The sequence below is a fragment of the Homo sapiens genome, chromosome 14 (genome assembly GCF_000001405.40).
Source record: "Homo sapiens chromosome 14, GRCh38.p14 Primary Assembly".
NCBI classification, from domain to species: domain Eukaryota; kingdom Metazoa; phylum Chordata; class Mammalia; order Primates; family Hominidae; genus Homo; species Homo sapiens.
In genome coordinates, this window is record NC_000014.9 from 56,621,329 (window position 1) to 56,635,691 (window position 14,363).

The following is a 14,363-nucleotide window of genomic DNA, read 5'->3' on the forward strand; positions in this document are numbered from 1 at the left end:
GATTTTTTTTCAATTGCACAATTAGCTGCTGCTTATCAGGTGATAGTATTCTCTCTTCAAATATACATATTATTTTAGAATGTATTGAAACACTAAATGTTGATTGTATGATGGGAAAAGAATGGCATAGAAAATAAGCCTAGTCTTATTAAAACTGTAGCAAAGTGTTGCTATTTTAATTTTTTTGGATCCTTTTATTTAGTGTTTGTGACCAAAGGACCAACTATGTGATTGATAAGTTCGCAAAGAACCTTCTCACCTCTATGCCTCATGATGCAATTATCTTACTCAGAGGAGATTTGCCAGGAAATTCTCTCCGTTACATGCATTACTGTGAGGGGTTGAGGCCTGACATTTCATTAGTGGATCAGGAAGTAAGTATATGAAAAATATACTTAGAATATAGCGATGATTTAAAAACATATGTTTTGGAAAAAACATCTTTTTTAAAATGGTGGACGGGTACAGTTTTCATGATCACTGTTAGGTAGAATATATATGACATTCTACATGTTAGGTAGAATATATATGGGCATACTTTTTTTTATTTTAACTAATAGTGTAAGTCACACTAGTTGCTTCTTTCTCATTTAAAAACATTTAAACTGAACGTTTTAAGAATTAATGTGTTTCATGTTAGATTCATAATGTTTTAGGTCTCTAGTTCATGTGACAAACCATAAAAGTGTTTGTTGTATGGTAAATCTATTTTTAAATTGTTATTTTACATTCAGGCCGGGCGCAGTGGCTCACGCCTGTAATCCCAGCACTTTGGGAGGCTGAGGCTGGCGGATCACGAGGTCAGGAGATCGAGACCATCCTGGCTAACATGGTGAAACCCCGTCTCTACTAAAAATACAAAAAATTAGCCGGGTGTGGTGGCACGCGCCTGTAGTCCCAGCTACTCGGGAGGCTGAGGCAGGAGAATGGTGTGAACCTGGGAGACAGAGTTTGCAGTGAGCCGAGATCGTGTCACTGCACTCCAGCCTGGGCAACAGGGCGAGACTCCGTCTCAAAAAAAAAAAAAAAAAAAAAAATTGTTATTTTATATTCAGCTAACTCAACCATTCAAATTTACCTTGCCCATTGGTCCAGGGATTAAAATAAATTATATTGAATATGAAATAAATCATACTGTAGGTAAGTAAACATTTCACTCAAAATAGAAATTATTAACCATAATTATGCTATAGAATTTTTATATAAACTTTCTTAATGCTGTGACAAAAATACATTAAGAGAGGACTTGTGAAAATTTTGAGGGCTATGAAAACTTTTTTTTTCATTGAAGAACTATTTAAACTAAGATTTATTATTTAAGCCATAGATACATAAAAGGGAAGAAACCTGTCTCTGGTGTTTTTAGAGCAGTCATTAGGAAAAGAGAAATTCTTAATCTTAAAAGAATAATATGATGAATTCAATTGAACAAATTATTAGGCATAGTACTTAATGCACTTTGTTGAATTAATGAATAATTATAATTTTTGGAGAAAACTTTATAAACAGATTTGTAAATATACAATTTTACATTTTTATAAGCAGTTGCATTTATATCATGGATGCCGATTGATTAATTTGAACTTCAGTCTAGATTCTGACAAAAGCTATGTTATTTGTTAATAACATGGTTCCACACTATGATTTTAAACACTGTTTAGAATGTCAGCTCCTGTAGTTGAGAAGCATGGATTAGAAAGTGAATTAGACCTAAACTCAAGTCCTCATTCTGTCACTTCCTGGATATGTGACATGGGGCTAATGATTTTTCCTCTCAGAGCTTCTGTTCCCTTATTTATGAAATGTAAGTCATCATTATGTAAGTTAGGGTGCATTTGAATGCAAGAAACAGAATACCTGACTTAAATGACTGAGTTTTTAGCCTCACATGAGACGCAGTCTGGAGATAGGTGATGTTAGGATTGATAATATGAGCAGTTCAGGGACGTCAGTTTCTGAGGCAGTTTTTCTGCCATTCTCTTGACTTTTCCCTCCCAGTCACAGGATGCATGCCCAGTTCCAAACATCACAACCTAAAACAAAGCACAGTGCTTCTTCTGGGGTATCTCCCTCTCTCTATTTATTGGAAATAACATGTGCCCCAGAAGCCCCCCAGCAGACCTCCACTCAGGCCCCACTGACCAATACTGAGTCATATACTCACACCTAAACTGCTTATTAGCAAAGGAGAATGACTAGACTGAGAACATTGCAGCCTGAGCTACCTGATCAAAATGAAGATTGCATTAGTGAAAAAGAAGAAGGTATTCACTGTTGAGTGGGCAATCAACAGTGTCTGATACAGTTATTCTCACATAGCAAGGTTATTTTGAGAACCAAATGAGGAACAGTAAAGTCCATAGCACACAGTGGGTATGTAATTAATATTAATATCCTCCAGAACCAGAACTATTGGGTAATAAAGCCTAATTCAGTAAGTATTTTTTGAGTATTTACAGTTTAGACTTAGATTAAAATTAATTTGTCATTTGCTGGGTAATGTCTTACATAAGACAAGTAAAACATAAGCACAATTTCTCAAATGATGATATCCGAACATAACAAAGCTTTGGTGGTGTTAATGGGAGTCTCTTCTTTAAAAAGAGGGAATGAATACATATCAAAGTATAGAGTTAAGTATGTGTTAAGTATAGAATTAAGTAAAATGATTTTTTCTAATATAAGTAAATTATTTAAATCAAAAGAATGTGTAAACTTGTAAGGATATGTAATTAATATAGGGCTACTAATAAATTCAGATAATTTGAAATGCCAAAAGAGTTTTTAACTTTGAGGCCTAGATTATTACATGATTGAGCTTCTCCAGGGCAGGGATTATATCTTATTCATTATAGATGAGCATACTTGATTTTTTTAATGAATAAAATAATGGCTATTTTGTCTAGGTTGTCTAGTCTGGCCATCAAAGGCATTTCAATTTCAGCAAACATGATTTGAGAACTGGCCAGGTGTGGTGGCTCACGTCTGTAATCCCAGAACTTTGGGAGGCCAAGGCGGGTGGAGCACTTGAGGCCAGGAGTTCGACACCAGCCTGGCCAACATGGTGAAACCCCGTGTCTATCAAAAATACAAAAATTATTCTGGTGTAGTGTCATGTGCCTGCAATCTCAGCTACTTGGGAGGCTTAGGTAGGAGAATGAACCCAGATGGCGGAGCTTGCAGTGGGCTGAGATCATGCCACTGTACTCCAGCCTGGGTGACAGAGTGAGACTGTCTCAAAATAATAATAATAAATTTGAGAACCGTTCTATGCCAGGCAGTGTGCTAGGTGCAGATACACAGAGATGAAAAAATACAGTGCCTTTTTTCTAGGAGCTCACAGTCTGGTGAGGAACAGGCTCTCATAGAGGTGAGTACAAAGTACTAGAGGATCATGCCATTCTGGCTATGGAGACAGAGGAGGGCATCAGAGGAAGTGATATTTACAGTGGTTCTGAAAGTTGAATACACGTTCTCTAGGTCAGTGGTCCCCAACCTTTTTTACACCAGGGACCGGTTTTGTGAAGGACAGTATTTCCACAGACTGGGGGTTGGGGGTGGGGGTGGGGAATGGTCTCGGGATGAAACTGTTCCACCTGAGATCATCAGGCATTAGATTCTCTTAAGGAGCATGCAGCTTAGATCTCTCACATGTGCAGTTCACAATAGGTTCACACTCCTGTGAAAATCTAATGCTGCCACTGATCTGACAGGAGGCAGAGCACAGCAGTAATGCTGGCCCCTGCTGTGCGGCCCAGTATGGGGACCCCTGCTCTAGGTATAAGAATGGGGGAAGGTCCTTCTGGGGAGTCAAATGCGGGAGGTAAATTGGAAGAAGGTACTGATGTGACTGATGATAGTCATAATAAAATCCAAAGTTTACATCACTAAAAAAGTAATCAGTACCACATTCTCAGTTGTGCTTATATTTTTCAATTATATATATATTAGGTTGGTGCAAAAGTAATTTAGGTTTTTGCCATTACTTGATAAACTTGATTCTTTCTAAGAAATATATTAAAAGTCTGACATTATGTGTGACTTTTCTGGCAGATGATGACTTACGAGTGGTATTTACCCAAGATGGCAAAGCACTTGCCAGGTGTCAACTTTCCTGGGAACCGGTGGAATCCTGTGGAAGGAATATTACCTAGTGGAATGGTCACATTTAATCTTTATCATTTTCTTGAAGTAAATAAACAGTAAGCATTCTTTTTATATAATAGCTTTTCTAAAATCTTAAGCTTTTCTAAAATTGTTTCTGTAGCAGTTGTGCATCATCCAAAAGACCAATTTTCTCTGCCTATTTCCCTGTCACTGGTGAGATTATCTTTGTAATTAAATTGAATATCTGTGCATAAATGAGGCCAGGCAGAAATAAATGTTATTGTTTTGGATAAAGGAAAAATACAGACAGATTAGCAAGAACAGCAAATAAGATCTTAGTACAATTCACAGAAATTGGAGATGTGCCTGCCTACTTGAAATCATTGCAGGTGGATGGCAAGCAATTATAGTTCCCCTGATCAACACTATGGCCCCCCTTTTAAGTGTAAAGCAAATGTTTTCAGGAATAATCACTATATAAAAATAGCTTAAGAATTTTTATAAAGGATAAGACATTTTTATAAATAAGAAAAACACCTACAGTTTATGCTAGCTGAGATAAAATATGAGAATTGTGAATTCTATACTTGAGAACATAAAATTATTTGTAGTTAGGTCAAGAATAAATAATTCCTCCGATGGCACAGTGTTGAACATTTCTTCTGCCATGAAGTGCTTGAGATTGTCCAGAGCTTGAAGAAGAAACACTTATTTCATGATTTATTTTTTCTTATAAAGAAGACTTCAGAATGTCTTTGTAAATCCCAAAGTTAAATTATCCCTTGCTAAGAACATAATAATGTGGTATTTTGGGTGTTTAGAGCCTGAAGTTTATATGGCTCGTGGAGTAAACGACAGTAATGGTTATAAATGCGCTGTGAGAGTAACATTTAATTATTCTATTCTAGATAAAATATTAGGAACCATTAACATCCCCAAGTTGGCATTTTTGTGAATTTTCGAGAATTCAATCCCACAAGCATTTACTGAATGTCTACTATGTTACAGCTTGTATTAGGCTCCAGCAGTAGAAAGATGAATGGGACTCAGTTCCAAATCCAAATAGAACACAATCTAGTTGTATACATACATAGATGTGAATACAACTAGCCATAATTTGGTGGGATAAGTTCTATACTATCAATGCCTTGTAAAGTGTCAGACATAGTATATACTCAATAGGTGTTTACTGAATAGATAGATGATTTAACTGACAACATATGCCAAGTATTCTGGCAGCATGGATAAGGAAGCCATTAATTCTGTTTGGGGACATTCATTCAGCATTTATTTAATAAAAATTGCATGTCCAAAATGTTCCAAGAACAATATGATGGAAGTATCGTATGCTCTTTGAGGAAACTCTAAACAACACGGAAAAGTGTGAAGACGATCAGTATCATCTGTCTCCCAAGGACAGCTGCTGTTAATATTTTGATAAATATTGTTGGATTCCACTCACCTTTAACATAAATGACTTATTTTTAAAACATACACATATTCATACATACTGTATTATATATAGCTGAGATATCATTTTCTGTCCAATTTTTTTAACCTACCATTATATCATAAGCATTTCCCCATGTATATTATTGTCATTGTTGGCTAATATTCTCATAAGACGCATAATAATTTAACGAATATTCTATTTTTGGGATATTCTGTTTCTAGACTTTTGCTCTTATAATATACAATTATGATAAACATTCTGCCCCATAAAGTTTTGTTAATGTTTTTGACTAACAAAGATCACTGCATAAATATGACTTATTTAATATCAGTTTTTAAAATAGTTTTTAAATTTAAAAGTTTCATGTGCTTGTTACAGAATGAGAAATGTTTTTAAAAACTGGAAGAAAACAGGGTCCTATTCACTCAGAAACAACACATATATAAAAAATGCATATTTTTTACAAAGGTGAAAGCATAAGTGTCCTGTTTTTTATATTTACTATCATAAAACAATTTCCTTATGTTTTTACAAACTTTGTAAATACATGTACTGTAATTTAAAAATAATAAGCAAATAAAACTATTAGGAGATATTTAACATGATCTAATTTTAACTATAATAAAATTATACCTACAACAACTGCTTTTGTATATGTAGGGTTTTTTGTGGAGGGGCAGAATTTTAAATTATTAGTATAGATTCTCAGAAGTAAAATTACTAACTCAAAGGACATGCATTATTTAAAGGCATGTGATAGAGATATTTTTCCCCCCCAAAGGGATGGACCATCATCATATGAAAGTTATCTAAATGCATACCTCTGAAAGGAAGCTAGCTAATGTTTAGTGAGCACCTGTTATTTTAACATGCAGTAATATTTACTTTTCTTGTTAGGGGGTGTGGTATACAGTTCTATGAATTTTAACCCGTGTATACATTTGTGTAACCACCACAACAGTCAGGACACAGAGCAGTCCATGATTCCATAAATTTTCTTGTGCTGCTCCCGTATAGTCACACTGTCTCCTCAGGCCTAACCCTGGCAACCACTGATCTGTTCTTCATTATTATAGCTTTACCTTTTCCTGAGTGTCATATAAATAGAATCAAAGTATGTAACCTGTTGATATTGGCATATTTCACTTAGTGTAGTGCCTTTGAGAACCATCCTAGTTGCTGTGTATATCAATAGTTTATTCTTTTTGTTTCTAAGTAATATTTCATTGTATGGATGTACTGTAGTTTGTTTATCCATTTACTCATTGAAGGACAGTTGGGTTGTTTCAAGTTTGGGGCATTTATAAATAGAGCTGCTATAAACATTCATAAACAGGTTTGTGTGTGAGTATGTTTTCTGCATAGGGTTGGGATTGAGTTGTTTTCTTATTGTTGAGTTTTGAAAGTTCTGTTTATATTCTAGGTACGCAACCTCTGTCAAATATGCAGTTTGTAAATATTTTCTCGCAGTTGCTTGTCTTTTACAAGTGTCTTTTGCAGAGCAAAACTTTATTTCTTTGAAGCTCAAATTCAATTTTTTTCTATGAATTATATTTTTGGTATCATATCTAAGAACTCTTTGCCTAATGCCAGATCACAAAGATTTTCTCATGTTTTCTTCTATGAGTTCTATAGTTTTGTTTTTGTGTTTGGATGTCAAATTGTCCTTATACTCTTTGCTACAAAGATTATCCTTTCTTCATTGCATTGTATTTGTACTTTTCGCTGTCTATACAAATGAAAAAAAATCTTCTGGGGTTTTTTATTGGTTTTAACTTAATTCGTGTTTTTGTGGTTTATCTTTTTTCATCCTTTTGTTTCTAACCAACCTATATCATATTTAAAATAGGTGTTTTATAGACAGCATATATTTGAGTCTTATTTTACTATCTCAGATCTCTATTTTTAATTGCTATGTCTCCACCATTTGCATTTAATATAAATATTGATATGTTTAGATGTATGTCTACTATTATCTTTTTTTAGATTAGTTGACTTTTTGTATTTCTTTTTTTTTTTTCTTTTGAGATGGAGTCTCACTCTGTCACCCAGGCAGGAGTACAGTGGCACAATCTTGGCTCACTGCAACCTCCACCTCCCAGGTTATAGCGATTCTCCTGCCTTAGCCTCCTGAGTAGCTGGGATTACAGGCATGTGCCACCAAGCCCAGCTAATTTTTGTATTTTTAGTAGAGATGGGGTTTCACCATGTTGGCCAGGCTGGTCTTGAACTCCTGACCTCAAGTGATCCATCTGCCTTGGCCTCCCAAAGTGCTAGGATTACAGGCGTGAGCCACCACGCCTGGCTGACTTTTTGTATTTCTTTTAAAAATGTTTATTGAGATTTTTTACTATATCGCTTGGTAAAGTTTTTGTTTTTGTTGTTTTTTTTTTTTTTTGAAGCTGGTTGCTGTTGAGATTACAGCATCCATACTTAACTTTTCATGGTATACTTAGGAGTAATAATTTACCACTTCAAGCAGAATGTGATAACCTTACTGTCATATAAGTCTTTTACTTTTTGTGTTACATATTATGTCAGATAGGGTCGTTTTTATTTCAGTTGTCATACATATATTAAAGAACTTAAGAGAAAAAAATATTCTACAATATTTATCAGATACTTACCAGATCTGTTGTTCTTTCTTCAATCCTGATATTCCACATTTTCCTCTTGTATGATTTCCCTTCGTTCTGAGGATATTCCTTAAGTATTTCTTTTAAACCAAAACTATTAGCCGTGAATTCTCTTAGTTTTCCTTTATCTGAAAATGTCTTTATTTCATCTTCCTGTTTGAAGGATATTTGTGGAAATAGATTCTGGGTTGATAATACTGTTTTCCTCAGCATTTTAAAAATGTTACTTTAGGCTGGGCACAGTGGCTCATGCCTGTAATTCCAGCACTTTGGGAGGCTGAGGCAGGATTGCTTGAGCCCAGGAGTTCAAGACCAACCTTGACTACATAGGGAGACCCTGTCGCTACAAAAAAATAAAAATAAAAAATTAGCTGGACGTGGTGGTACACACCTGTGGTCCCAACTACTTGGGCAGCTGAGGTGGGAAGATTGTTTGAATGCAGGAGTTTGAGGCTGCAGTGAGCTATGATTGTGCCACTGCACTCCAGCCTAGGCAACAGAGCAAAACCCTATCTCAGAAAAAAAAAAAGAAGAAAAAAAAAAGTAAGTTAATTTTTTTGGCCTGTGTAGCTTCTAATTAGAAATCCACAGTAATTCAAATAATTGTTCCCCTAGGTGAAATCTATTGTTTTTCTCTGGCCATTTTCAAGACTTTTTATTTGTCTTTAGTTTTCAGCAGTTTGATTATGATATATTTTAGCATGGATTTCTTTGCGTTAACTTGTTTGGAGTTTTCCAAATTTCTTCAACCTGTAAGATTGTATCTTTCACAAAATTTGGGAATTTTTCATACATTATGTCTTTAAATAATTTTTCCTGTTTCACAGTCTTTCTTTTCTCCTTCTGAGACTCTGATGAAATGAATTTAGACCTTTTGGTATTGTCCCACAGATGCCTGAACTCTTTGCTTTTTTTTCAGTGTTTTTCTTTTTTTGTTTAAATTGTATCTTTTTTTTTCTATGTCTTCAAATTCCCTGACATACTGTCTTGCCAAACTTATATTAAGCCATTTGGTTCCTTTTTATATATTTTACTTTTTGTTGAGCTTCTCCATCTTTCCTTTTGTTTCTAGAGTATTTGCCCTTCCTTCTTGATGCATGCTTATAATAGTTGTTTTAAAGTCTTTGACAATTCTAGCATTTGTGTCATCTTAGAATAGACATCTATTGATTGTTTTTTCCCTTATGAGTTGAGATTTTTCTGGTTCTTCATATGCCTAGTAATTTTGGATTGTATCCTGGACATTTTGAATATTTGGGTCTTATTTAAATCCCAAGGAGAATGATGACTTTTTGGTCTGTTTGTTTAGCAAGCCCTTGGCCAAGTTAATCTCAGGTTTCAAATTCTGGCCTGCCTTCTGTGAACTGTGGTTGCAATACCGGTTCTGTTTCCAAAGCATTTGCAGTGCTATTTGGATTAATCCCATGTGTGTGCTACTGTTACTGGCGGCGAGTGTGTGAGTTACTGGCAGCAAACCCATACAGGGCTGCAGCAACCTCAATTCTTGCCACCTCAGAAGAAAGAATTCAACTGAGGGGAATAAGACAGAAGGAGAGACCAAGGCACATTTTAAAGCAGGAGTAAAAGTTTATTAAAAGCTCTAAAGCAGAAATGAAAGGAAGGAAACCACACTTGGAAGAAGGCCAAGCAGGCGACTTGACAGACAAGTGCCCCATTTGACCTTTGACTCAGGGTTTTATACGTTGGCATACTTCTAGGGTCTTGCATTCCCTTCTCCCCTGATTCTTCCCTGGGGGTGGGCTGCCCAGATGTGCAGTAGCCTGCTAGCACTTGGGAGGTGAGAATGTGCAGTGTGGGCCAGGTGTGGTGACTCACGCCTGTAATCCCATCACTTTGGGAGGCTGAGGCAGGTGGATCACCTGAGGTCAGAAGTTCAAGACCAGCCTGGCCAACATGGCAAAACCCTGTCTCTACTAAAAATACAAAATTTAGCCAGGCATGGTGGTGCGTGCCTGTAATCCCAGCTACTCCGGAGGCTGAGGCAGGAGGATTGCTTGAGCCTAGGAGGCAGAAGTTGCAGTGAGCTGAGATTGTGCCACTGCACTCCATCCTGGGCTACAAAGCAAGACTCTGTCTCAAAAAAAAAAAAAAAAGAGACTGTGCAGTGTGTTTACTGGAGTTGTATGCATGCTCACTTGTGTTATTCCCTCACTGGTGGTTTGGCCCTAGAAGGTCATACCGGTTAAACTCTGCTGTTTTGCCTCTTAGTGCACATGCTTGAGCCCACTCATTCAACTCCTGAGATCTTTTCGGGAAGCTGCTGATCACCAGTTTCAGGTGTTTCTATCTATCTGTTGGGAAACTGCCTTTTCCTGGTGCTGTCTGTGACCAGTTACTATTTTAGAGAAGCAGTGTGACAACTGTCTGACCATCACCTGATGGTTGTCTGAAATTCCTGGTGTGGTTGGGGCAGGACGGCAGAGAGCCCTCTCCTGCCCTGCTCATGCCTGACTAGCTACCTATGGTAACACTACCAGGTACCCAGTCTGGAACCTGGGTGGTGGTCTGTCCTGTGGTTAATTTTACGAACTCTGTTTAGGGTCAGACCTGTGCATGCTCAGCTCAGAGATAAGCTGAGGATACAACTTTATGGCATTGCTCTCTGCATCTCTCTCCTTTCTGTGGTCACCCCATTACTTTCCAGCTTGCTGGGGCCTTCCTTTTTGGTTCTCTAGCCAGAAAGCTGGGGCTTTAATTTCTTTCTTCTGCTGTGCCCTTCCTGTGACTGTGTCTGCATCTGGAGCCAGACTGAAGGACAGAGAGAAAAAGCAATGGAGATTTGCCCCACACTCTTGGAAGCACAATGCCTCTGCTTAGAGAGAAGGGCTCCCCTCTCTCAGAGTTTTGGGTGCCTGCCAACCCACCACTACTATCACTATGCTGCTGCCTCCGCTAATGCCACGATGTTGCCTGGCACCTGGGAAAGGAGAGAAAGAAAAAGACCTGGGGGATTCCCTCCACTCTCTTCAAACCTTGGTCCCCTGTGCTACTTCTTGGGCTGCAAAAAATGGGGGGACTTTTCTTGGAGCTTTTTTTATCCTTATTTGAGACATACTTCTGAGTTTTAAGCTTCCTTTTTTCCCCCATGAGATGGGGGTCTTGCTGTGTTGCCCAGGCTGGTCTCAAACCCCTGGCCTCAAGCGATTCTCCCACCTCAGCCCCAAAGTGCTGGGATTACAAGTGTGAACCACCATGTCCAGCCTCTATTATGCTTTGAGACTGTTAATTATATTAGATATCTCATTAGTCTTCAACAGTTCTGAAAGATAGTTGCCATACCTCTTTCACAAGTGAGAAGACTAAACACAGGTAGTTAAGTAATTTTTCCAAAATCATATAGGTAATAACTGTTGGGAAAAAATCTAAAAATGATCTTTCATGAATTATATTTACTTAACATTTAAAACTTTAAATTTTAAGTACATCATGTATTTTTCTGTTTCCAACAGAAAAGAAACATTTGTTTGCATAGGAATTCATGAAGGCGACCCAACCTGGAAAAAGAACTATTCACTTTGGCCATGGGGGTCTTGTGACAAATTAGTTCCTTTGGAGATTGTATTCAACCCTGAGGAATGGATTAAACTTACAAAAAGTATCTATAACTGGACCGAAGAATATGGAAGGTATGAACAGCAGTTGTATTTTGATGCATATAAACATAGCAGTTTTGAATACCCAAAAAAACTACTACATTTTGAGATGCCTTCTAATTTTTTTTTTTATTAATTGTTAATATTGTTACTTGCTACCCACAAAATACCATAAAACAACAGAAAGAGAACATGTCCTTCTCGTTCTCCTACTTACAGAACAATGGGGAGAGAGGAGGGAAGAGGGTGCTGGTTGTGTGGATACCATGATGGTTAGATGCATGGCACCTTCTACTTCCAAGTCTTTGAATGCTGCATCATCTACCATCCTATAGCTCATTACCCTAAAAGCAGAAGAGGTTCATTAACTGCAGTTGAACTTTAAAAGGCATTCTGTTGTTTATGATAGTTTCCATATGCACAAACTTGTCATTTTTTTTTTTCCTTAAGAATGGCAGATAACTTCTCTGTGAGCGAAGACTCAGCTTTGAGTAGCTTTGTTTTCAGTGTTTCTTGGCATCAATCTGGTTATGTTGTTGGGGCATTACTGGCCTTCCATTAAGCATTTCTACATAGAGCTTAATGTTTCCTAAATAGAAAATGAGTCACTATCTAGGCTGCTCTATCTATGGAGTAGTGATTCTTTTACTTGATTTCACACACACACACAGAGTCACTATCTAAAGAAATGTGCCTCCATTACCTACTTTTAAAGTTATGAATTATTTAAAGATTATATAACCTATTGCTTATAATTTAAGAGCAACAGACAAGATTATATTTTAAAATACTGTAAAGGTTTTTTGAAAAGACAGTATGCGCAAATACAGACCACATTGTTGTATAACAGCCAGAGATGGATGATCAAAACACTCTGCAGCCGTCATGAGAAAAAGTCAGAACAGCTGACAACTAGTACACGTACATAACTTTGCTCATTATCCCCATTCTATCAAATATATACATAGTAAGAAAATTTTTAAGAGAAAGAAAAATCAAATGGCTTGGCCATTGTTCTTTGAGCAGCATCAAAGCTCCAGCAGTGATTTTCCAAGCCAGGAGTCCCCTCTCTTCAGGCTGATCCCCTTGTTTCACAGCTCTTTGGCTCTTACCTCTGTCCATAGAGTGACCTACACCTCACCTCTGCCCTGTTGCCATCTAACATATAGTTCTTATGAACAGCTGGCTCCCCAGAGACTTTCAATGTCTTCCTGTTAATCTTCTGTTTGCTCTCTTGAGGCATGGGAGCTAATTATGCAGATTAAGAAGATATTTACCAAAACTCAAACTTCCTTAAAATTCAACTTTTTTAGGAGAACAAGTTTATTAATTTGATCACTGTCAGTATTTCAAGATTCATCTTATTGGCCTTGTCAGATGATAAAACAGTTATGACCTATCCATTGCAAAAATGTAGATGATGGCTGGGCATGGTGGTTCACGCCTATAATCCCAGTATTTTGGGAGGCTAAAGCAGGTGATCACCTGAGGTCAGGAGTTTGAAACCAGCCTAGCCAACATGGTGAAACTCCATTTCCACGAAAAATACAAAAATGAGCTGGGTGTGGTTGTGGGTGCCTGTAAACCCAGCTACTTGGGAGGCGGGGGCAGGAGAATCACTTGAACCCAGGAGGTGGAGGTTGCAGTGAGCCAAGATCGCACCATTGCATTCCAGCCTGGGCAGCAAGAGCAAAATTCTGTCTCAAAAAAAAAAAAAAAGTGGGTGACAGAAAGATATTACTGTTTTCTTGTAACTACAGGTTTGATCCATCTTCTTGGGAATCTGTGGCCAATGAAGAAATGTGGCAAGCGAGGTGACTATTCTACATTTTTGTGTGTGCAGTCTATTTTTAATATGGCAGGGAAGTAGCTTATGGCACTTTTAATTTTGAGAGTAGGGGTGAGTAGTGATAATAAAAATAGCATTTATGAGCAATTATGTTTTTGAGGCACTGTACTAATCATTATACATGAATATTTCAGTTCATCCACACAATAACCTCTGAGGTTATTTTGATCCCCATTTTATAAAAGAACAAACTGGATGTGGAAAGGCTACTTGTCCAAGGGCACACTGCTGCTAGTGATGGAGTCCAAAGTTCACATCTGTCTGCCTCTGGAACACTCATCTAACTAAAGTGAGTGTAATCGATTGAGTAGAAATTAATCATTACAACCTCGCCTCCATTTGTAATGTGCCTGTCAATTAGTTAAGCACTTATTCAGTACTTACTGGAGGCCAGGCACTGGGCTAGGCATTGAAGCTACACATATGAATATGACACAGTTCCTACCCTCATGAAGCTCATAGTCTAATGAGCAGACAGACATGTTAAAGGAGATTGAAATATTAATCTGATGGAGCCTATACTTTCCTGTAGTTCAGAGAGGACAGCTGTCATCCTGTCCTGTATGGAACATTTCATAGTGATGGCAACTGCTTCTTTTGGTTCCTGTCATTGTTTTGTTTTTTAATCAAAATAACACTAACAAACTCTGGCCTAAGTATTAATGTAAAAGTCCTAAGTAGTGCAGACGGAGTATCTTGTACAT

At 37.3% G+C, this 14,363-nt stretch overlaps 1 protein-coding gene across 12 annotated transcripts in view; it reads left to right on the forward strand.

The window, feature by feature from the left end:
• The window catches only part of TMEM260 (transmembrane protein 260), an 83,641-nt gene that overhangs the window by 41,804 nt on the left and 27,474 nt on the right, over positions 1-14,363 (forward strand). For 8 of the 12 annotated variants that reach the window (XR_007064017.1, XM_047431494.1, XM_011536851.3 and 5 more), the window contains 4 exons: positions 203-374; positions 4,054-4,202; positions 11,667-11,843; positions 13,571-13,624. Coding sequence is in view for 9 of the 12 variants with exons in the window: in XM_047431494.1 (XP_047287450.1) it covers positions 203-374; positions 4,054-4,202; positions 11,667-11,843; positions 13,571-13,624 (552 nt within the window). In the remaining 3 variants the exon portion in view is untranslated. Of the gene's footprint in view, positions 1-202; positions 375-4,053; positions 4,203-11,666; positions 11,844-13,570; positions 13,625-13,793; positions 13,949-14,363 lie in introns of those variants that run through there. The other 4 variants (XR_007064018.1, XR_007064019.1, XM_047431497.1 and 1 more) reach the window with 4 other exon arrangements.